Raw genomic sequence first — 25,327 nt, 5'->3', positions numbered from 1 at the left:
GAGGCAGGGGTTGCAGTGAGCAGAGACTGTGCCATTGCACTCCAGCCTGGGCAACAAGAGCGATCTTTTTGCTGCATGGTGGCCATTCTGTGAAACCCACGTGGCGGTCTGACTCTCTTTTCTCACCTCTGGACCTTGGTATCCTTCTAGGACCTAGTGCACTATCTGATGTATACTCATCGCTAAGCTCATTTTTACTGGGCTGAGGAGACTCTCCCCGTCATAAGCAGATGGCTTGATCCTCTGACTCAGGTTTATATATTCAGTGCTCTGTGTTATCTTTTTATCCAGAGCATGATGAAAATGAGTTAAGGTTTATAAAATGTTTAAAGAGGCATTGGGAAAAATATCTCCTGTATGAATGAGATAGTGATAATAATAAAATTAGAACCGAATCAGAGATTGGTGAAGGAAATTTAGTTTAATTTGCATCAAACAAACTCAATGCTGTGAATGGCTGGTAAAGTGAAATCTTATTTCTGAAGTTCTTGAACATTCCCATTTCTAACATTTCTAACCAGGGCTTTAATATCATTCTAATGCAGTTTTTTACATGTAAATTAATATAATAAATGTCAATGTTGAATAGAATAAGGTCACATTTTACTACTTTGACCAGAAGTGTAATCTTCAAAGATTCAATTTTATTACCATTATAACAGTCATACTGGATAAGGTCACCAATATTTCTTTCCAAATGATATAATATATGATGACAGCCTTTATACCAACTTTAGTTTGTGTAATCTGGATTTATATTCTGAAACATGTTGACGAAGATATACCACGGACATTTCTTGGTCAAATGGCTGCCTAGGGAAGATGTTCCCCTCTAATTGATGGGAAATTTGAAAGTGGGTAAATGGAGTAGTTTAAATGTAGCATTTTCTTGATCATATCATCTTCTTGCCTACAGATAATTAAATTCCTGTGACGTTTTAGTCTCCTACTTGAAAGGGAAAGGTGGTGTTTAAAGACCTTTCAGTAAGTAAAAGCAAGAATTGCCCTGTATGTGTGTGTGAGCCAGCCAGCTGGCCAACCTGCACAATTCATCTGAATGACATGTTCATTGAATCAGAGGAGTTCAGGGTTATCAGGGATGTTAAAGGGCAACTAGCAAAGCCATTCACCTTGACCCTCTTCTGCAGCATCCTCACCAAGTGATCAATCTCTGCTCCAGCAGGGACAGTTAGAGTACCTACCTTATGAAATTGTTGTGAAGATTGAGTGAGGGGTTATATGGAAAGTGCTTAGAACCACATCTGCCCCATTATAAGTACTCAATCATGTAAGTCACTGCTGTTATTGTTATCTTGAATATGCTGTTGGCTACTCCCTCACGAGACGGTGTATTTTCATCTTCCCAGAGCCTGTTCTTAGATGAAGCTGAAAGCTACCTCTTTGTATTTTTTACTGATTGATCTTAGTTTTGACTTTTGAGAACATAAATGATAATGTTGATGATGCTAATACTTGCTAATTAACATTTACTGAATGTTTACTATGTGTTGGTCACTGTACCCAATGCATTATCCCATTTAAAATTAATTTTGAAATGTTTCAGACATACTCAGAAAAAGCACCAAAAACAATACAAAGGATGGCCTGTTTACCTTCAACCAGATTCAAATGTCATTCGGATTTTGCCACACTTGCTTCATTTATCCACTTGAGTTTTTGCTGAAATATTTTAAGGCAATTGCTAGAAGTATTTTCTTAGCTCTACACACATCAGCATGTATCTTTAAAGACTACGAAAATTCCCTAATTGGCAATATTATTATCATATTTCTTTTTCTTTCTTTCTTTTCTTTCTTTCTCTCTTTTTTTTTTGGGATGGAGTTTCGTTCTTGTTGCCTAGGCTGGAGTGCAATGGCGCGATCTTGGCTCACCGCAGCCTCTGCCTCCCAGGTTCAAGCGATTCTCCTGCCTCAACCTCCTGAGTAGCTGAGATTACAGGCATGCGCCACCACGCCCGGCTGATTTGTATTTTTAGTAGAGACGGGGTTTCTCCATGTTGGTCAGGCTTGTCTTGAACTCCTGGCCTCAGGTGATCCCCCCGCCTCAGCCTCTCAAAGTGCTCATTACAGGCATGAGCCACTGCACCTGGCCCCATTATCATATTTCACAAAATTAATAGGAATTTCTTAATGCAGTAGTCAAGTTCTTTGACTGTTTTAAAATGTCTTTTTATCATTGCTTGGTTGGATCAGGATCCAAAAAAGATCCACACCTTATATTAGGTTATTATTTGTTTTAGTGCTGTTTTAATCCAATATTGTTATGCCATTGAATTTTTTTTTAACTGAGTCAGTTGTCCTGTAGACTGTTCTATAGTACGGATTTGTCTGTTTGCTTCCCTTTAGTGTTACTTAACTTGTTTCTCTATCTTGTGTTTGGTGTAAAGTAAGTTAGCTCTAAGGTGGGCTCCAGGGTAGATGCTAGCTATAGGTGGCTGATTATACACTTAAGTAAAATTAGAAATTCAGGTTGCTTCTTTGCTCTAGCCACATTTCAAATGCAGCTAGTGTCTGCTGTGTTGCATAGTGTAAACAATCGCAAAAAGTTCTATTAGACAGCTGCGGGTCTATGGATTATTTTCAGATATAAGCATTTGTAGTAGTAGTATTATGTGCTTCAAATCACAGTGTATAGGGAGGCATAATGTCTGGATGTCCTGCTCTTAGAATCCTGAAATTGATCAGCAGATTTAGGTAGTGACAGCCTGGTTCTCCATTATAAAGTTTCCCGTCACACTTTCATCCAAAGCAGGAGTTCTTAACCTTTTTGGTTCAGTCACCTTTTTGGCTGTTGGTGACGCTTGTATACCTTTTCCCCCAATAATGTTTTTATTTTTTATTTTTATTATTTTTTTCAAGGTACGGTCTTGCTCCTTCACCTAGGCTGGAGTGCAGTAGTATGATCATAGCTTACTGCAACTTTGAACTCCTAGGCTCAAGCAGTCCTCCCATCTCAGTCTCCTGAGTAGCTGAGACCACACGTGCACGCCACTATGCCCAGCTAATTTTTTTTAGATATGGGGTCTCACTACTTTGCCCAGGCTGGATTGAAACTCCTAGCCTCGAGCAACCCTCCCACCCAATAATGATTTTAATTAAGGACAGTTAAGTATAGAGAAGTACCAAGGAAATTCATGTTATTTAATACCAGTTAACACAGTATTAACAGCAAATTTGTGATACAGTGAATTATGCATTTCTTTATTACATATTAAATAATGAGAAGTGGTAGCAGCTATAATGACCATCATAATTGTGTGATAGTAATTGTAATGATAAGTACTTCTAGAATAAATGATATTTCAAGGTAACTGCAATAACTATCAAGTTATTACTTTACATATTTTTTAAATACCTGTGATTTATACTGTGACACAACTCATAGGTACTGCTGTTACTACAGTGGTTCATTGCCTACATCTGTGATTTAATAAGATACAAAATTTTAGTTAAAAATTAGTAAAAATAACTGTGTGTCATTTTTTTCATTCATGTTCATGTGTTTCCTTCCTTTTATCCATGCACCCTCTGCTAAGCCTCTGTGGGACCCCCAGGTTAAGAACTCCTGACCTAAGCCCCAAATTACCTGTTGATAATTTTGCATGAGTCAGTTATATTTTTAGGGATTTAAAATGGTGGGGGTCCTTTTGCTTTTAATGCTAGAATTCTTTGAAGAATTGTCCATCATTGGTGCTGTTTGGTTACTCTGAAATGCAGTTCCATGAGAATAAATAAGCCCCATTTTGCAGGTGAGGTTACTGATAAGAGTTTATTTGCCCAGAGTCAAATGGCTAAAAAGTGGCAAAAATGGAATTGGAATCCAGATCTGAGTCACTCCACAGGTCATATGCTGGATTCAGATTCTGTTCTACCATTTACTAGTTGGTTCACCTGCATCTTTCCTCCTTCCTAGAATGACTGCCTTTGCAATGCTATAGTCAAAGGTTGACCCTTGTTTCCTCATTTCTCTTTTCTTTGATTTTCTTCAGCCATACTGATCTCTTTTGTGAATGTGCTATAGGCTGTTCCTGGTGGCTCCCAGGTTGACAGAAAACTCCATGACTATCCCTGTCAATAAGATCAGAGTGAGAAATCACCTCCCTCAACTCAACACCAGACTTGCATTCACAATCTGAGATAAAACGTGTTTTGTAGAAACAACATTTCTCTGTTGACTCTTCTTGAGCTTATTCTCTACAAAAATTTCCAAGCTGTTTTCACACATGCTGCTGCAAAGTGAAACTTCTCCATCTTGTAGTTCAGCAAATAGTGGACTGGACCAGGGGAGATCACCCATTGGAAGAATTCTCATTTTTAGATTTATCTGAGGACATAACTTGGGAAAAGGAAGACAACCCAGAGAATGTTATGTTTATGGTTATAAAACATTAAGAAAATAACAGTTATTTTTTCTACTCTCTACTTACTAAAATAATAGTTTTAGCTTTTATTTATTTATTTTTATTTATTAATGAAACAGTAATTCATTCAACAGTCATTCGTTCTAATAGTCATTCCCTTAGACATTTTTTCAAACCACCCACCCAGTCATCTACCATCCGTCCATGCATCCCAGCCATCCATCCATCCATTGACCCACCAATTCAGTGTTTAGCAAGTGCTCTATGGGCAGTATACTGTATCCAGGTAGAATACAGCTGAGAAGCAGACATTCCTGATTTCTGCCCTCATTTCAGTTTGCATTCTCAATAGAAAACAAGTAATCATAAATGAGTACTAAAATTTCAAGATTGATATAAGCTATGAGGGATACAAACAAATGGGAAGAAAAGGAAGGAGGGATACCTTCATGGGATGGGATTGATAAGTCTACTAAGAGGTGACATCTGTCCTAACCTGGGCTCCATATGCTGGTCTTTGGATCCAAGGATGAAAAATAAGTGGCCTCTGTTTTTAAAGAGCTTCTGGACCAGCGGCAGATAATGCACTACAGAAAGGGCCTATAGTGGAACATTGTGAAGGAAAACATACAGCTATAGCTGCATTCTGTTTTTTGTGTCAAAATAAGGATTTTGGCAGGAATTTTGCTTGTTGCGCATTATCCATATGGAATATAGAACATGCATGGTATTGATGTTACTCATTATGTAATCTCCCTTCAGTCATATTGTGATGTACAAGAGAACATTTGGTGGGGAAACCTTAATGCTAACAGCCAGGTTTAATGATGCATTCAGAGTTCAGGAGGTTTGATAATATAAAAGTTGTCAGAATCAAATGGAGTCACAAACAAAACCCTGACAAATAGAGCTAGGAAAGGCCATGACGGGAGCGTTCTCATGTACAAATGCCTGATAACAAAAACTATCATAAAAGACTCTGCAAAAAGCCACGCTGCACCAAGGCCATCACATTTGTACACACACACACACACACACACACACACACAGACACACACACACACACAATGCTTCTATGAGGACATCTGCCCAACAACTGCCTGTCCAACCTCTTTCTGGTGCTACAATGTTATTGATCCTAGTAACCAAGGATAATTACCTCAAAACAATTAGGTAATTCTCCTCACTTGCCCTTTAAAAACCTTTGTCTTCCTTCACCTGGCTGAATACTCATAATTTACTGTGGCACATGTATTCCCAAGACAAGGCCCATTTCTCAATAAATATCATTTTCTTTTAGAGAGCCTCTGTTATTTAGGTAGACAGTAACATGCAGTTCTCAGGCTACTTGGGAAACAAAAGAGAACTTTGACTTTAATTTTGCCAGGCAGTGTGGTGGGAGAATTCAGGAGCATATGACGACGGGTCTGCTCTTTCTGGAGAGAGACTGCATATATATGTCTTTTTAAAGTCACAGTCCTTGATTTTCCTTCATCTGCTCTCTCCTAATATTAAGATGCACATCACATATGACACTAGTTCTTGGCACAGGTTTTAAATTTGTGGCCTGTTACCTATATGTTTTATTTGCCCCACCCAATATTTTTTAACACATTGGAAGTACAAGTACCCCTCATCTTATACAGCAGTGTGGGACTATAAAAATGACCACGCAAGCGGAAACCATGCAATGTCCACTTAGTAATCAATGGGAAAACGTATGACTGTTCTATGACCTTTAACGTTTTTCTCTAATCATTAAAAACCCTCTATAAGTTATCAGAGTATAAAGAAATAGAAAAATATAATGAAAGAAGTAAAAAACGAACTAATACTAATTTAGTACACTGTAATTTAAAACATTAGAAACACTAAGAATTGAAGTGCTTTATTTCTTTGAAAATCACTTATTGAGAGTCTCTTGAACAATTCTTGCCTTGTTTTTCTTATCCTGCAACTAACAGTACAGATGGGGCATCTTTTCTGTGCTTTGGCTGATTGTCATAATCCCTCCTAAAGTGTGGATCTCCTTCCAATATTTCATCCTTTGTGTTTTCAATGTCATGAAATAGGACGTTTTTTAAAATGTGACTTTTTTGATGTCACTTCCTCTGGTACATCTTTTTCTTCTGCATCATAAATTCTTTGGTAATTTATGTTAATAAGTTTGTCTTTACTAAATTCCTTGGGTTACATATCTAGAATCTCCTGAACATCAGCGCAATTGGCATTCCCAAAGTCAGTTATTTGTTCTATAATTTTATTTACATTTGATTCAAAGTGCACTTCTGGGGTTGTCACATTTGGTTTTTTGTTTTTGTTTTTGGTCACTTGTGTTTCATATTTCTTGGCCAGTTCCCTCTTTCGATTATCCATTTTGGTGAAATATGTGGGTTCATCACTGGAAGATCAGTGGGATACAAAACTACATACTTTGCTGGCTGCCTCTGACTGAATACCAGATGTGCAGTGATCAGTCACTGACAGACTTTGGAAGAAGTGATGTGACTGGTCTCTGATCATCATGCACATCTATGATCTACATGGTAATTTGTGAATTGAAGAGCTAGTAGTGGAGCTTGTACTTTACCCAATGACCCAGAGTTAATGTGACATGGTAACTGAAATTTAAACCGTGTTGTTGGGGAATTGGTGTTGTTTAAACTGGAGTAACTGAAATATGTGCATATTGGAACCATGAGAAGGACTGCCTATAGTTGCCAAAAGTTAAATAGAAGAGAATTACACATAGCAATTCAAATTTCTAGTTTCTTCAGGAACAAAAAAATCTCTAGGTGGTGGCCACCCACCTTGGGGCATGTGTTTTCCAGTTGTGCCAGTTCCACCACTCCTTGTTACCATAAATTTGTGGCCTCTCCTGATGAACTGTACAATGTAATAGCTACTAGCTACAAGTGATTACTAGCTACAGGGTGGTATTTAAAATGTAAAGTTTAAATTTAATTTTTAAATGTAAAATTAAAATTAAAACAAAATGCAATTAAATATGGTTGATTACATCAGCCATATTTCAAGTGCTCAGTAGCCACATATGGCTAGTGGCTACTATATTGAACAGTATAGGATATAGAAAGTTCCACTAGACAGCACTGCTCTATAGGCAGTGATCTATGTTAGCTAAATTATGATGGATCGAGGAATATCAATAACACTGAAAATCCAAAATACTATCCTTCAATCTGAATTATTCTTTTTTTTTTTTTTATAAACTAAATGGAACCAGAAGAGATTCTGAGTTAAGAGTACGTTTTCAGGGAGAACGCTTGTGGTTTTTTTTCCTTATAGAAACATTAAAGGTGTTGGAATCTGAACTCTATGGCGTAGTATTCGAGGTTGCAGTCTCGCGGAGGAGCATTTAATCAGTAAGAAACTTGTGACACTTATTTTAGCTGTGGTTATTTAAGCAGTTTCTATTTTCTTTTAAGTGATGATGGTAAAGACAGTGACAATGGTGATGTTGGTAATGAGAGATTATGGGGCCGATGTCTGATTCCCCATGACAGAAGACTGTTGGTTGTCAAAGACATGTTTTTAATATCTAAGCATATAAAGAAAATGAGAGTGAATTTTAGGATTCTTCAGGAGGAATAACAATATACAAATGTGAAACTGTTGCAGAATTGCCAGAACATTTGTTTTGTTTCCACAGTTTTCTTTTTCCTTAGGCATGCTTAAATATTTTTTTTCAGTTATATACAAAATGAAATTCAAATATATAGAAATCTTGTAAGTTCATATTTTTATAGATCTTTGTGGATTATTGGGTTTACTAATTTTGTGTGTGTGTGTGTGTGTGTGTGTGTGTGTGTGTGTGTGTCTGTGTGTGAAACAGTCTTACTCACTCTGTCACCCAGGCTAGAGTGCAGTGGCGTTATCTTGGCTCACTGCAAGCTCTGCTTCCTGGGTTCAAGAAATTCTCCTGCCTCAGCTTTCCGAGTAGCTGGGATTACAGGTGTGTGCCACCATGCCTAGCTGATTTTTGTATTTTTAGTAGAGACAGGATTGCACCATGTTGGCTAGACTGCTCTCAAACTCCTGATCTCAAGTGACCCACCCACCTTGGCCTCCCAAAGTGCTGGGATTACAGGCGTGAGCCACCACACCTGGCCAGATCTACTAATTTAAACATTAGGTAAACCATATAGTGTTCTGTGCTGTCTAAACATAGCTTGAAAAATGACATTAGAGTGAAAAAAACTTGCAAATTCTAAATGCGTTTAAATATTTACAATATTTTTCCATTGTTTGTTTTCACATTTTGAGATTTTTTTTATTGTTAGCAACCATATTTTGAAAAAGTCGTAAGTTAGAACTGGAGAGGAAGACTAAATGATTATAAGATGATTAATTCCTAGACTCTGCTACCAGTGATGCTTACATTATGAGGGGGAAATAAAAAACAGAGATCAAATGAGAAAATGGAGATGGGTGGGTGAGTGGAATGTAGAAAAGTACAGACATTTTAAACATGAGATGAATGAAGATCTGGGTTCCAAACGATAACACTGGTGCTAGTGAGACACTGTTTCAATCACATAACCGCATTACCATTGCTGGATTGAGGGAAGCTTTGAAGGATTTCATTTCCATTGACTATTTTTTTTTTTTCTAAACCAACCATTCGTTCAGCTTTTATTTGTTGGTGTGAAATATGCTATTATTTTGAAAAAACACTTTTAACATCCCAATGAAGTAGGTACAGATATTAACTCCAATTTAGGAAGAGGACAGTAGGCTAGGAGATTTGAAGAAGAAAGAGTAGACAGGAGTTTTTTGTTTGAAACCCTGGATTTGTGAATGTATTTCTTTGACTGTTTTTAAAATGCCCCAGCCTCCCCTGTGATTGGCAGTTGATTTTATTAGGAGACAGGTGTAAGCAGATGGAAAGAACTTTTCTTTCCCCCCCTTTACAGGCCTTGGAGGTTTAGTGATAAATGCTGAGCTATATTTGCATACAAATCACTATCTTGAAAAAGTTTGCTTTCTTGACACTCTGGCAGTACAGTTCATTGCTGAGTAGCAGTTGTTGTTTTTAATGAATTGCTGCTTTGTTTTTAGAGGCTGCCTGATTAACTTACTCTATTCTGGAAGCTGCCACAGTGACATTAAAATGTCTTTTGCTTCCTGTTTTGGAAACATTTGGAAATCACTTGCTGCTGAAAGTTTTCACTCTCTCTTTTTTTTTTTTTTTCTGGTAGAATTTTCTGCATTTTTATTGTTGTAAATGATTTAGCTTATTCTTTAATTTTGAATGGATCACACAATCATCTTTATGTGTCCAGCTGCCTTTGTTGGAGGAGACATGTCTTAAATTGTTCACTGCTGAATCAGATTAAAATGACTTCGGTGTTATGGCATTAAAAAATCTTTTGTTTGTCTTTTATGGAGGCTTCATGCTTGTGAATTATGGCACATTGCTCAGACAGAGTGAACTTCTTTTCTTACTCTTTAGTACTGGGTATATTAGATTCTAAGCCAAAGTGAGCAAAAGTCTGAGCCTGTTTCTAATCATTCTCTTGGGGACTAATCTTCAAAGAATTCTTCTGATTTAAATCTAGATTTCTTATCTTAGTTGGGGTCAGGAGACTATTTAAGAATTTTATACCAGAGGAAAACAATGTGTGTGCGTGCACATATGCACCATTTTGCAAACAATTTCAGGAGATTCATAGAAGCCCTGGAGCCTATCTGTAGACCCAGGTTAGGAAACTCTGCTCTAGTTATTTCTGGAGAATTCTATAAATTCAAGAAAGAAAAGTCTCCAAATGGTGAGCTACATGACACTGTCCCACCCACCGTATCTCAAAATTACATCACTCTTCACCTACTACCCAAGCCAGAACCTTGGAATCCTCTTTGATCCTTCTCTTCCTTTTTGCCCCCATTAGTTAAGTCTTGTTGCTCCTACCTCAAACATACATCTCAAATTCTCTGCATCTCTACTGCCACCACCACAGGCCAGGCCTGCTTTGAATCTTTTACCTAGTCTGCAATAAAGATATTCCCAGTGGCCTTCAGCTTTGCAAAGAGAACCCAGAATCTGTCATACATCTCCACTCTCCGAAATGCTTCAGTGGCTTCTCCATGCATGGCGAATAAATACAGACTGCTGACCAAGGCTATCAAGGGCCTGCACTCTTTCCTGAAGATCCAGTTAGACCAAGTGAACTGGGCCTAGTTCACAGCCACCTTAGCTGGTTTGGCTTGTTACGGTCTTGCCCTTGCATTCTTGCACCTTTTCTTTCTCATCTCACCCCTTATATTTTCACAGTAGTTACTATGTCAGTTGCCTTTGTCTGCTCACCCTCTAGATTTCACATCTTTGGAAGGGAGAGGATGACTGTACCTGGTTGTGCTGTATCCTCAGTGTCTTATATAGTACTTGCCAGGTAGTCGGCTCTTAATTCACAAATATTTACTGAATGAATATACAAAAAAATACAGAGTTCTTGAAAGTCTTTTGGCTTTATCCTTTTCTCTAATATTCAACTTTGTGATCTTTCACTAATTCATTCAGAAGTTCATTCACTGAACACATGATGAATACCTCTCACTACGAAATCTTCACATTTATTTTAGGTTGCTAGCTCATGGAGGACTGATTTTAAGAGAGAAAGACGTTGATTCATATTCTGTGAGAATGCCAAATTAGTGTTAAGTGTGACTCTCTTTCATTTATTTGAAATAAAGGATGTTTCTATTAACATTAGTATCTGTCATAGAAGAGGGTTCCTCATTGTTATTAAAAAGCATAGAACACTGTTATCTTTGAACTTTTCCAAGCTTCACTGAGTTAATAGTTCTGAAGTTTTCCATTTAAAACACATGCACTACTTTTGATGTGTGAAGGAAAGACCAGTTTGTATTTATTTTTCTATCCCTTTAGCTGGGTATGTTACATTTGTATTAGGAATTCATAATTCTTTTTTTTTTTACCATGAAGTATATTTTTCTTAATGGTTTACATTTAAGTAAGTTGAGTCTGGACTGGTTCACTGGTCTTTTAAGAACCCACAGTTTGGGGAGCATTTTGAAGAAATTATTCATTAGAAAGAATTGTTTCCCAGATTAAACAATGAATAAGCCTACATGACATTTATTTTTTCACCAAGTATTTATTAAAGGCCAATGCTATGTTAAGCTCTGTGTGTAGCACCAGGAATCCTAGTTGAGCCTATCTATAAAGGAGTATTTCCTCTCTTCTAAGGAGGCTTCATCTGCTAAATACCACCCCTACCTTTAATCTCCTCTCTCCCTTTCTCTCATTTCCTATTTCTTTCCTTTCATATTTATAGTTTGGCTACTTTTTGCCTTCAGATGGCATCTGAACTGTGTTGTCTGGTTGCTCCATTGGCTTGGCCAGCTATATGGAAGATCTGAGGGAAACTGGAATTTTTAGTCTCTTAAATGACATAAGCAAACCTAAATTTGGAATCCATAATTTCAAAACCTGATAGAGCTTGCACTGGAAGAATCCTGTCTATGTGGGAGTTTGGGCCCCAGGTTTCACTCTAGCCACCCTATGGAGGTATGTGCTCAGGGCACTCCCCTCATTCACATACTGGTGAAATGAAACTGTGTATATGGTGAGGGTGCTATTAAATTATTTATGTTGCATGTGGTTTTCTAGATCTGCAATGAATTGCAGATTTTTAGTATTACTTTCTCATCTCTACTTCACTAAAAAGCTTTTTACAGAGTTTTTGAAATGATTCTCATAGCAAAGTGTATCTGAAGTTTAAAATAATCTCTCATTGGAGTTATCTTTAAATATTTCTTCAGCTGCTGAGTGCAATTTATTTCTTCTATTGCCATACTCCTTCAAGTCTTAACTCCTAAGAGCATTTTTACAACATGCTCATTTTCATATTGGTGTGTTCCCATTCTCATGTTTACACATTGTGGACAGACTCTTTCGAGTGACAGTTAATTTTCCTTTTCAGTACTCTCCTAACCAGAATTATCTAAATTCTAGACACTTCTGTATATCTCTAGGACAATAACAATAATAATAGATTTTCATAACGGTTACTGAGAGACATTGCAAGTCCCAGAAATGACTTCTATATCATTAAGAATGGGGGAGAGAGAATTCTTGAAAAAACATTTTTATTGCCGTCTAATTGAAGAATGGCAGGTACTTGGTATACACGCTAATATTTTTTTCCTCCCTGGTGGCAGCCAAAACTAATAAATTCCTCAGTTCTTTCCTCCTGCTCCTTATCAGAGCTTCAGAATCCTCTTCAACATGCTGCTGTAAATAGCTACTACAAGTTGGTTGGGGTTAGCAAAAGAGGTAAAACCTATTTAAGAACAAACTTGCCCTAGTCACTGTGACCACGATGCTCAGAGGCCCCTGCTGACCTATAATTCGGGGTCTCACTGCCAGAGCAGCTACCATTGCAAAGCATTGCTGCCTGTCTTGGTGAAGGAAATAAAGCTGTCGGTCACATACTAGAAGTTAAGGGCTTTAGCCCAGAAGTGACGTATATCATTTTCGCTCACAACTCTTTGACCTGTATTCCTTGAGCTTCACCCAACTGCAAGGGTCCAGAAGGCCTACCATATGCCCAGACATGGCAGTAACCTGAACTGTTTGGCAAACAGCACTAATGACTGCCATATCCCATTTGATGTATTTTAATGCTCAACTTCTCAGCATATTTCATTTCACAGAATGCTCTCTTTCTTTGCCCATGTGATTAATAGGACATGTACTCAACTTTTTGTTTGAAAAAACAGAAAAATTACTCAGGCCTCTCTGTGTTTTGGGAAATGATGCTCAAGGTTTCCAAAGAACATCCTCTGAAACATGTGTCCTGTGTAGTGTTCTACAATATTACTAATAATTAATAATCATTATTATTTTGTAGATAAGCAAATTTGAGCAGTGCTGCATACTATTTCTTATTTTTGAGAAGCCAGAATGCATAGTAGTACAGTAAATATGCTGATGAATACTGCGGTAAAGAGAGCTATTTTACTTCATTTCATGCAGTGTTTCTCAATCTTCTTTGACCGCACAGTTTTTTTTCTGTATAATGTATAACAGCATCCCGTGGAAGCAGGGCTCTGCTATCCCACTCTAGTAAACACTGCAGTAGGTATTATACATGGAGGTTTTTATAACCTTGAGAGGCATTGAAACAGCATGGACATTGTAACAGTGTTGTAGCACATGCCCCTGGCTGGGATTTTCACTTAATAGCTACGTGACCTTGGTTATGCAGTTAAACTTTTTTGGCCTCAACTTCTGAATCTGGACATTGGGAGGTGATATTATCCTAACTCAAAGGGTTATTGATTATCACTAGACCATACTAGGCAGCAAACAAATGTTATATATTGTTTCTTTCCTTTAATGATATCATTTACTTCTTTCCCACATACTTAGTTTATATGAGCATATTTTTTTCCAGATATGATGCTCTTCCCTCAATCAGTATAAGATTACTTTGCATTGAAAAGTTCACAGAAAAATATGTGAAATTCAACCAAAGAATCTGTACCAGAATGCTATCGGGCTGCGGACTCCCCTGTCAATTTACTTTCTTTGAAAGGCAACTGTTTGCTTCTCTCGATGAAAGTGATTCTTACTTTTGAGCATCCAGATCGGTACCGGAGTTTTGAGGGCAGCTCAGGGCATGTTGCCTAGACAAGGATACCTGGGTTCTCTTCCTCCAGATGAACAAGGTCTCATCATATCTCTGACCCAAAGCATATCCCAGGGCAAAACATGAGATAGTGGATATTTGTGAGATGCTTGCCTTGAGAACCAGCTCTGAGCAGAGTGTTATCATTATCTTAATCACACTGCTCTGGAATTTATCATATTCTGGAAATCACATTTGCTTAAAATTACATCTGTGTCATTTATGGTTATGGTTGATGAATATCCCATGAACCCTTTATTGAGTTACTGAAATGAGTATGTTAATCCCCACTGAAAAAAGGTGTGGCCCAAACAAAGCAAGATGCTTCTTCAGAATTGTATTTATTAATATTTAAGGGTGATATTTCTGCCTTTCTGATATGAAAATCCATCAAAGTGCTTACGTTGTGAATAGATTACTTTTTGAGATGCCGCCTACTTTGACTCAAAGCTCTGTAATTGTGCTATTTAAATCAAATAAATTGAATATTTTCTTGAAAAGTAGCTGACAGTCCATCCTGCTATTGTTTTGTGAAGTGACATTAAGAATTATTTTAAACATTTACAAGGCCTAGGAGTGTTTGTTAGAGCAAATAATGAATTATACAGGGTCTGCTGAGGTCTGCATTGCAAGCTGGAATGTTCCTTGCTTATCACTAAACTACACACAGATCTGCAGTCGAGATGAATACAGACTCTTTTTTATTAGTTCAGAAGAATGATTAATTCTGTGTTGTATTATCTGATACTGCCTTACTTCATATTAATATATACACAGGCTAATCAGCCTAATCAAAATCAGTGATATTTTGATGATTTGCTTTATTTTGGTGACTTCTATATTCTGAATCCCTAGAATAGATCAGATATAGAAAACTAAATGGGGGCGAGTCTGAGCAACTCCGATCATAATATTCTGCTGTCATCTTTAATTAATCATCTGAATCAGTACATTTCCATTTATCTGTCAGTGCTCCATGTTTAAATATTTCGTATTTGTCATGGAAATCCTCCTAAAAATATTTTTAATCAATTATTATCCTTGATGAGCAAATTTTGAACTTATCAAATTTATTTTGAATAAAAATGTGGCAACATAATGGAAATTTTATGTAGTTGGGAAGATTCTCCCTTTTGCAGCATCCCCCTTTGTTCTGACTCCACCAGTCCTTTGCAGTTGGTTCTGTGTTTCATGAGGCAGTGTGGGAGGCCACAGAAATGGCACATGCATCTCATGTCGCGTGCCCATTCTCACTGGTGTTGACTGCTCAGAGGTTATATTGGCAAGTATTTGGGGACACTTTGGTTAAAGGAGAGAATTCTGTGGTCGATTATTCTGCCATAAGTTTACCATTGGAAAATAGTGGCAGATGTGCAATGTTTTGCCATCTCAGTGTAACAGAAAGAGCTTTGGTTGGGGAAGCTCACCAGTTGAGCTCCAATCCCAACTGTGCTCCTAACTGTGTGACTTTGAACAAGTTAAGTAACCTTTCTCTCCCTATTTTTAAAATCTGACAGTGAAGGTATTGGAGTAGTTGATGTTTAAGATCCATCTCGGCTGGGCACGGCGGCTCATGCCTGTAACCCCAGCACTTTGGGAGGTGAAGGCAGGTGGATCACCTAAGGTCGGGAGTTTACGACCAGCCTGACCAACGTGGAGAAACCCCATCTCTACTAAAAATACAAAATTAGCTGGGCATGGTGGTGCATGCCTGTATTCCCAGCTACTTGGGAGGCTGAGGCAGGAGAATCACTTGAACCCAGGAAGCAGAGGTTGCACTGAGCTGAGATTGTGCCATTGCTCTCCAGCCTGGGCAACGAGAGCGAAACTCCATCTCAGGAAAAAAAAAAAAAAAAAGGAGCATCTCAACTCTAAAATGCCATCCTGTATTTACTCACTAGGACAGCCAAGATACCTTGGGCCCCTGTTAATTTTTAAACATCCCTGGAACTTCCTAGTGTCCATATCCCTTTTGACTGTCATCTTTCCACTCCTCCTTTTAGAAGACAGAATATCTCTACCTTGAATCTGGGTTGGCTTGTGATTTTCTTTGACCGATAGAATGTGGGACAATGTAAGCCTTAAGCAAATTCAGAGATTCTGCATCTATTGGGATGGAAGAGCATGTAGAGTGAAGGGCCTAGTGGATGCAGCTGAGCCCAGACTCCAGCCTACCTTCCATCTGAAAGCAGTTGCATGAGTGAGTCCAGGTGAGACCCTCAGCAAAAACCATCCACAGACTTATGGTAGTAAAACCTATCAATGTTGGTTTGTTGTTGTTGTTGTTGTTTTGAGACAGAGTTTTGCTCTTGTAGCCCAGGCTGGAGTGCAATGGCGTGACCTTGGCTCACTGCAACCTCCACCTCCCGGATTCAAGGGATTCTTCTGTCTCTGCCTCCTGAGTAGCTGGGATTACAGATGCCCGCCACCATGCCCAGCTGTTTTTTTTGTATTTTTAGTAGAGATGGGGTTTCACCACGTTGGCCAGGCTGGTCTTGAACTGCTGACCTCAGGTGATTCGCGCGCTTTGGCCTCCCAAAGTGCTGGGATTACAGGCGTGAGCCACTGCGCCCGGCCGATCAATGTTGTTTTAAGGCTCTATGATTTGGGGTAGTTTATTATGCAGCAGTAGATAAGTGATATAGAAACTGGAAGTCAGTGGCTCTCCTGACTCTAGAAGGTCTGAGATGATCTCTGACAGTTATTGCTGACTATCAGCTGAGGTGCCTTAGTTCTTTCTTCATGTTGCCACTTAACAGGCTAGCTGGGATTTTTTATAGCATGTTGGTCTCAGGCTTCCAAGAGAGCAATAATCAGAGGTTTCAAGGTCACTTAAGGCCTAACCTTGGAAAGTCACACAGCAACACTGCTATAGATTGGATATTTGACCCTCCAAACCTCATGTTGAAATTTGATCCCTGATGTTGGCGGTAGGGTCTAATGGGAAGTGTTTGGGGGCAGATCCTTCATGAATCACTTGATGTCATCTTTGTGGTAACCAGTGAGCTCTCTACTGCTCTATTAGTTCCCAGAAGAGCTGGTTGTTGAAAAGGGTCTGGCACCTCCCTCCTGTCTCTCTTGCCTCCTTTCTCACCATATGATCTCTGCAAACTGTTTTCCCTTCCACTTCTGCCATGAATGGAAGCATCTTGAGGCCTCCACCAAATTCAGAAGCCAGCATCGTGCTTCTTGGACAGCCTTCAGAACTGTGAGCCAGATAAACCTCTTTTCTTTGTAAACGACCCAGCTTCAGGTGTTCTTTTATAACAACACAAACACAAAGTAAGATAGACACTCAAGGGGAGGGGAAATAGACTGCAACTCTTGATGGAAAGTGGGGGAAAGCCAGAGAGCAAAACAGCATGTGTAGGATGGGAGGGATTCTTGTGGTCACATTTGCAAATAGCAAACCACACCAGCTCTAGGCACCTGACTAATGCGAATATGTCTTTCTTTCATTGTGTGTATTCTGAGTTGGCAGTGTGTCAGCAAGAGTTCAGCATAGGGCTTGGCATGTGGTCACACCACTTTAATGCAGCAAAAACACCTAAAGTGTTCATGTTCAAAAAGAGAGATAGTCAGTTCTGGGCTGGTGGTGAGCATGAAGAGGAGGAGACGAAAAGGGAAAACAAAAAGAAAGGATTGCCAAGTTTCTGGTAGTCTCTTGTGATATGAATCATGTGTTGTGAGAAGGTCCATAATTCTCAGTAATTAGACTGTCCAACAAGCAATGGATTCAGTGTGTCTGACAACCTGACCCAGTGATAGAGGCTGCAGTATCTAAACTTTCTCAGGAGTCTGGCCCATGATGGAGCCCAAGTCACCTTGAAGCAACCCAAAGTCAGGATGAGAAGGGGCAAAATGCCAGCTTTGTATCCCTCTTTACTTCCTCCAGTTCAGGCAAGCTGGTACTCTCCCCCCTTTTTGATCTTACGATTCTCTGTTAGGATGAAGGCATACTCACTGCCCAGTGCTGAGGCCTCCTTTCATTGTGGGATTGTAGGTCTCGTCTGCTTTCTTTTTCCAAGGTTAGGTGTTTCTTAAGCGTTCAGCATGTTTGCATCATAGCCTTCTATTTAATGAAAACAGTGGTTCCCTTCTATGAACAGAGTGACTAGGGAATGCAGGGCACAGTTTTAATAAGAGGCTAGGCAAAAATGGAGTCATGAAAGCTCTAACAAGCATGACATCACAGCACTGTCATTAATAACATGAACTTTAGAATCGGACAGACGGGTTGAATTCTAGTTTTAATCTCATTTTGAGTGTGCTGGTGTGGCAAGTTTCTAATTTTCTATAAGAAATTATTGCTTATAATTCATCTTCAACATGGGAATTATAATAGTATTAATAGTTTATGGGTTTGTTGGAAAGATTGAGTAAGTAAGAGTACGTACAAAAGTGAAATGGTGATTTGGGCCAAAGGAGGAACGCTTAACAACTTTCTTTGAAGCTAACCTTAAGTTTCTGGACCATTTTTAAGGACAGATTTTGGTCTAGGTGTGGAGAAATTGTTCTACTTTAAAAGGTGAAATGTAAAATGAGATGGAAAAGTTTATCTAACACCCTGAGGCAGAATTAGATCTGACCTCCCCTGTGCTCCCACAGCTTTCTATACTGATTTCTACCAATAGCATTCATCTCTCTGTGTTGTAATGATCTGTTTACACTGCATGACAGTTGCGGACATTAGAATGTGAACTCTTCAAGGTCAGCTACTCTGTCCTGGTCATCTTAGCATCCTAAGTTCCAGCATAGACCCTGGACTGAGAGGAGACTGCAGTGTTGGGATGGATGAGTGAGTAGGTTGCCAGCCCAATCCACTGGTTAAATCACTCCCCAATTTTTAAAGTCCAGTTTAAATCTCATCTGCTCTAAGAAGTCGCCTTTGGTTTTCATCTACTGTGAGAAATCTCCTTGTCAGCTATACAACCTAAATTATAACTATTGACCTTCGCTTCCTTTAAAAAATATTATTGCTAAAAAAACTCTATACTCTAGATTATAGGGAGAAGTGGTAACCAGTTCCACAAGTTTTCACACATGATATGTACTGGATAAAACATTTATTCAATTCAATATAGTAACTTTAATTCTTTAAAGGTTATCCTACATGTTGGCTAAGAAATCTTGACAGAGGAGATAATCCCAAGCAAACAGGATCCAGAAGTAAATGTGTCTTCATAGCCTATGTATAATATGGAATTTACCCATTAACAAGGCCTAAGAGGCTCCAAATTAAATTATATTGCATCTGTGATATTATTTTAAAACAATTGGCATATAAAAAGTGGCATTAGAATTACAAAAGCTATCTGCTGTTCTTCTAATTAATTTGCTTTCCCTGAGTTGTTTTTCTAGGAGCAACATGCAAACAAGCAAAATTGACAAACAATAAGTTTTTTTATGGTGTTGAAAAAAAACATTTTTGGATGTCATTGATATTACTAAATTTACATTAGATACATAGGTTGTCTGATTTATTCCACCAGTTTTCACAGTAAGCCATTGTTGAAGTGAAATGTCTTCCTCCCCCACCGAGTTGCTGTGTGTGAACATAGCCTAACATAGCACTTATGGACTTCGTTGGAAGCTTGCATGGTTGTCACCCTTGCTGTGGTTTGGTGAAGTCAGGCCTAAGTGAGGGTGTAATTCAAATCAGGGAGGAGGAATATGGGGAAGGGTCCCTTTTAACACAGAAAAAGCAGCTTCGTGGGAGTGGAGGCTGGCAATCTGCTCAAAGGAAATGAAAGGAAATTCTTCATTTCTAAATGGTTCATTGACCCATGATAATAAAGCGGGCCTGCCAAAGATGGATAATTATCTTTTTAAGTATCAGATGCCCTGTGGGTGAACGCCTCCCTTCTCCTCTCTTGAAAAATGAACTCTGATTTTAAAAATGCTTCTTTTCCTAGTTTACCATTGACATGAATTTCCTGATTATGAGCAAAATTAATCAGTTTCTTCTTTCTCTTCCCCTCTCTCTTATGGAAATCAGGCCTGACCAGCTGAGCTCAGTTGTGTTTCCCCTTGGGCTCTGAGTTCTACCAATAGCGGAATGGGGTTGATATTCTAGTGAGACTAGCAATTGCAGAATTATGGTTTTATTATGCCCCTCAGCTGCTTAGCTCCAGGCAGGAGCATGCTGTCTTAAAACAACAAGAAAAAAGAAACAGAAAAACGTACAAGAGTTTGTTTCTCTTGTTAGTATCTAAAAACTAAACAAATATTTATATATATAGTGTGTGTATATACACATGTGTGCATACATGTGTGTATAGTGACTGAAATGTTATTGATGGTGTAACAGTGAATATTAATTTCCTATCAAGAAGTAATCAAATTTCTATCCTTTTTTCTCAGATCTTATATGTTGCTGAGACCAATAGTGTAAATACGTTGCCTTGTCTAACTTGTAGAATGCATTAAGAATGCTTTATTTGAATAAACAGACAACCTTTCGTTCATGATTTACCTTCAAATGTCTTCTTTTGGATTCTAAAAAAAAAATTAGTCTGAGGAACTCTTGTCATAAATTGCTTAACCACATGGCACCTCTCTTAGTTATGGATAAAGTTCACTGTACATTTTCAGAATGTCTATACTCTTTTAAAAATAAAATAAACATCTACTTTTGTATGTTCATTGCATAATTTTCTTATTTCTCTAAAGAGATAATTTAAATTAAAAATTTATCCCCATGTTCTACCTAGAGAAACCAAGTAGATATTCCAGTTGCTTTTTCAACCTAGTGCCTTTGGCTGCTGAAGCGGACACAGCTTTAGAATAGGGGTCAAGAGAGAATGATCTAGAATAGATCTTGCCTCCTCGCATAATTATCTCACCATACACTTGAGTCTGTCTGTACACGAATGTCCCTTTCTTTTGCAAGAAATTCTTCTGCATACCACAGCTTCTCCTTCAAAGTGTAATTATCCATGTATGGGAGCTCTCTTTCAACTCTCTGGAGTTCAGTGGATGGTAAATATCTGTTTCTTCATTCCTTAGTCTTTGAGAGTTCAGGCCCTGGTCCGAGAGGATTCAATCCTGTGGGTATGAACTGCTTGGTAAGAACACTACCCAAAGCCAGCAGCATGGGCCTTAACAGACCTTGCTACAGATGTCCTTGTGTGCCCGCTGCGGCCAGTGGAGCGCTTCCATGACCTGCGTCCTGATGAAGTGGCCGATTTGTTTCAGACGACCCAGAGAGTCGGGACAGTGGTGGAAAAACATTTCCATGGGACCTCTCTCACCTTTTCCATGCAGGTGAGTGTACAGATTTCTCAGAAATGATTTTTCTTCCCTTTCATATCCCGGCATTGGGCTTGCTCCTCCTGATATCTTACCAGGAGGGCAGATGTGATTGTTTGTATTTTAGGTAGCAGCCAAAAAAAGAGATTTCTAATGCAGGGCAACCCTACTGTCCATTGGCCCCAAGATGGACCGTGGGATAGTGTCTAAGGTGATGTCTGAGGCTTGTTTACCAAGCAGGTGGGAGTAATGGATAAGTGATTTAATGGACATTCAGACATTCCAAATTGCTTACTGGAACTGGGACTGGAAAAATCATTTTCATTCCATGGTAACTAATTTTTGAGCACTGCATAGACTAAGCCCTGCTCTAATTCCAGGGTGGCAGTGATATGCAGCTTAGGTTGGGCCTTACCTTTTGTCTGTCTTTAATTCAAGATGCAGAGATTGATCACAGATTAGTTAGAAGCTAGATTCACTGGTTGGGTGTGGCCCACTGACCAGTGAAGAAATCAGATCCCCAGTCACTGAAGATTTTTAGGCAGAGGTTGAGCCAACAGTTGTCAGGTTGGGAGAAGGATGTCCATGGTGAGTCATCAGTAGGGAATTGAGTAAATCCGTAGTAACATACCATGAGCTCCTTCAGGCCCTCTATGGAAAGGGCTGGGGTATCAATGTATAAAGTCCTTCATGGCTCTGAAATTGGATGACTCTGTAATTGCCCTTTAGAAGGACACACTTTCAAAATGTGAGGACTCTGTACTCAGCCTGTTAGTTAAACTGAATGTTTGCCATTCTTCCTCCCCTCCTTAGCTCTTTACCATAGAGCTTCAAAGAGACCAGATAAAGAAAGCCAGTGTTTTCAGGTTATGAAGGCTCTGACTAAAAGTGCTCATCTTCTTCTCAAACAGATTTTTTTCTTTCTTTTTTTGCTGCCATGTCTGTGTTAAGAGTAGCTAAACTTCCCCCAAATGCTTTGTGTGTATGTGTTGTATGTCAAACCATTTGAGTCCCCTTCAGGCAGGTAGTTCAGTTCAGAGTGGGTTTATCAAGCTTATGTTGCAAACCGTGTTTCTGGAGAGACTAAATGAAGGCAGTGAATGAAAACCTCTGTTAATGTTTAGTGAGATACAAGAATAAAAATCACATTTATAGGAAATGGCCATTGCTGGTTATGGAACATTTTTCACTAGAAAGTTAATTCCATAAATGTAAGAGCTGACTTGTGTTAGCACCTAGAGTACTTTCGTATATGCAATGTGGTCAAACTATTTTTTACTGTAACCTACAGTAAGATACATATTTATTTCAAAATCATGCCTGTCTCCCCTGACACACATATATGAAATATATGCATATGCCTATATTGATAAAGGAAACCAGAGTTTCACAAAACAATGTTTACTCATTCTGTGCAGTCTAATAGTTTTTATTCTATTAAGATCTGATTTCTGGCTGGGTGTGGTGGCTCACACCTGTAATCCCAGCACTTTGGGAGGCTAAGACCGGCAGCTCTCTTGAGCTCAGGAGTTTGAGATCAGCTTGGGCAACATGGCAAAACCCTGTCCCTAAGAAAAATACAAAAATTAGCCAGGCATGATGGTGCATGCCTGTAGTCCCAGTTACTCAGGAGGCTGAGGCAGGAGAATCACTTGAGTCCAGGAGGTCAAGGGTGCAGTGAGCCGCCATCATGCCACCATACTCTGGCCTGGACAACTGAGTAAGACCCTTTCTCAAAAAAAAAAAAAAAAAAAACAACAAAAAAAACACCTGATTTACATTGTTTGTAATGCTGATTGCAACCCATTAAGTTGACTTCATGACCCACTAATGGATTGTGACTCTAAGTTTGAAAATCCCTGATATACACAGTTATGCTTAATCCTTACGGCGGGAGTTCTCACCCCGTTAGTCAGGCTCATAGAGGTAGACAAACCTGGCTAAAGTTGCAGAGGTGAAATTCTATTTTGGAATTTCTGATTGTGGAGCCATTGCTTTGTTTGGCCATCTCAACCAGCTGAGTATCTGCTTTTGCTTTATATTATGGCTGGTGACTTGGTGAGTTTGCCCATTTCCAACTAAGCTTCAGAAACAGAGAAAGGGAACCAGTTTGGGAAAAGGGTCCAGCTACAATGAACACTACCATTTGTCTCCCACAAGGTCAGAATAGCCAGAGGACTCTTCCCATATGAAATACCCCATATTCTTCCTTAATGGCTTATGTTTATAGCAGATTTCCTGAGTAGAAGCTTAAAGTAATCAGACATTAATTAAACCACCTCTAAACATAACCAGAAGGTGTGATACTTCACCTCCCCAAACATTTTCAGCCTTCCTTTAATGCAATTAAAACCATAGCCTAGAGCAAAGAGCATGAAAAGTAGCAAGGAGTTGGCTTGCTGGATAATTTATATCATTTTTATACATAACTTCGCACTTACTCTCAGGCGGAAATGGAGAACTGTCTAATCCCGCACATTTGAAGCCAATGGTCCCCATGAGAATACTATAAATTAACACACAATGAAATTGCATCTAAATTATTAATGGGTGATATTTCTGAATAAGCAGGAGATACCATCTATCTATTCTCACCTCTGTTGGTTTTTTCCTACTTCTAGGATGGCCCCGAAGCCGGACAGACTGTGAAGGTGAGTGCTTATTATGTGCATACAAATTAATAAGAGGCGATTATGAGAACTAATAAAAAATCACAACGAGTCATATGCAGCACATTGCTGTTTCATTATGTTATCTTCGAGGTCAGAGAGACCCTCAGTGTTAGAGCCGTAAATCCTGACATTATAAACTCTGCCAAACAATATGTTTCCCATTGGTTTACAAGACATTTACTTTTAGTAGTAAAATTATTATTGTGCAAACGCTAAAACAGAAACTAAATCAAGGAGTCCGGAAACATAAGTCAAAGTGGTTCATGTGAGAGAGTGTCTAGGAAATAGCATGTGAGCTTCCTGTGGGTTTGTGCAGCCCCATGTTAAGCCTGGGGTGTCTTTGACACACCTTTGCTTCTTGACATAGTCTGCTTTTGCTTCATTGTTTTTGAGTGAAGCAATAACCGCAGCAGTAGCATCAAGCTGCCTCCCTTCCTTTCTGTTCTCCTGTGCTTCTCTCTGTTCTCCTTCTCGTCACCCCCACACCTACTCTTTTCCTCCCTGTGTACTTAATACCAAAGTTCAAACCTAATGGAGTCAGTGGAGCTCAAAGATGGGTTTTTAAGTGTGCTAGGAGAAGAAAGGAGGATTTATTAGGATAGTCTCTGCTTCTGTAGTAAAAATAAAATAATAAAATCCTGGCTGATTCAGAAGCTGGGTTTCAGCTCTTTTCATACAAATGCTAATTCCTATACGGGTAGATTCTGCACCTAAGTCATAGAAAAGGCTCTATTTTTGGTGCTAGAAGTCAGAAGCAAGTCAGGCTGGGATGTTAATGTTACACTTTGTTGAAATAAAGTTTAATGCTTCGAAGACTAGCTGTGAGTGGATAAGGTGCTGCCCACACAAACAATGCCAAATAAACGTAAGTTCCCTTTTGATCTTACTTTACTTTTGTCTTTAACACAGCTATTCTGGGACTTTTAAAATACAATCTCTGGGAAATACTTCTAAGCAGTGAAAGTTTATGTAGGGACTGCCACCATATGGGCTACCAAATTCCTTATCATAAAAAAGGGCTAGCCTCCTAATTGCTCTACACACAGGGTATGGTGATAGACACAGAGGCTTTCAGCTTTCCTCTGTCCCACTGTCTCACCTCCATGTGAGGCTCTAAATATACGGATGCAAAGAAAGGATTTAATACCTGTGGCTTCTTTTTGAAATCACTTCTTGAAATGCAAAACACAAATGTTTAAACTTGGTTCCAAGATTTTTTAAAACTCAGTATTCAAATGTAAATTCCAACTATACCGGATTAGTTAGATGCACTATGCAATATCTATTTGATGGAATTCCTTCAGCCATTGAAAGCGATACTGTAGAGGCATAGCTAGTGACATGGGGGA

The 25,327-nt window shown here is 38.9% G+C and overlaps 1 protein-coding gene across 8 annotated transcripts in view, besides 1 other annotated feature; it reads left to right on the top strand.

The window, feature by feature from the left end:
* FHIT (fragile histidine triad diadenosine triphosphatase) overlaps positions 1-25,327 on the top strand; it is a 1,504,176-nt gene that overhangs the window by 1,216,125 nt on the left and 262,724 nt on the right. For 6 of the 8 annotated variants that reach the window (NM_001354589.2, NM_001354590.2, NM_001166243.3 and 3 more), the window contains 2 exons: positions 21,176-21,321; positions 23,928-23,957. In NM_001354589.2, the coding sequence (NP_001341518.1) occupies positions 21,176-21,321; positions 23,928-23,957 (176 nt within the window). Of the gene's footprint in view, positions 1-21,063; positions 21,123-21,175; positions 21,322-23,927; positions 23,958-25,327 lie in introns of all 8 variants that reach the window. The other 2 variants (NM_001320901.2, NR_135491.2) reach the window with 2 other exon arrangements.
* Positions 24,244-24,453: a silencer, noted in NCBI's record as "silent region_14494". NCBI's record gives its function as "represses an Ori minimal core promoter by ATAC-STARR-seq in GM12878 lymphoblastoid cells {active_cell/tissue: GM12878}" and the evidence as "EXISTENCE:reporter gene assay evidence [ECO:0000049][PMID:35858748]".

This window comes from Homo sapiens, chromosome 3 (genome assembly GCF_000001405.40).
Source record: "Homo sapiens chromosome 3, GRCh38.p14 Primary Assembly".
NCBI lineage: Eukaryota > Metazoa > Chordata > Mammalia > Primates > Hominidae > Homo > Homo sapiens.
This window is presented reverse-complemented; position numbering and strand designations above follow the sequence as displayed.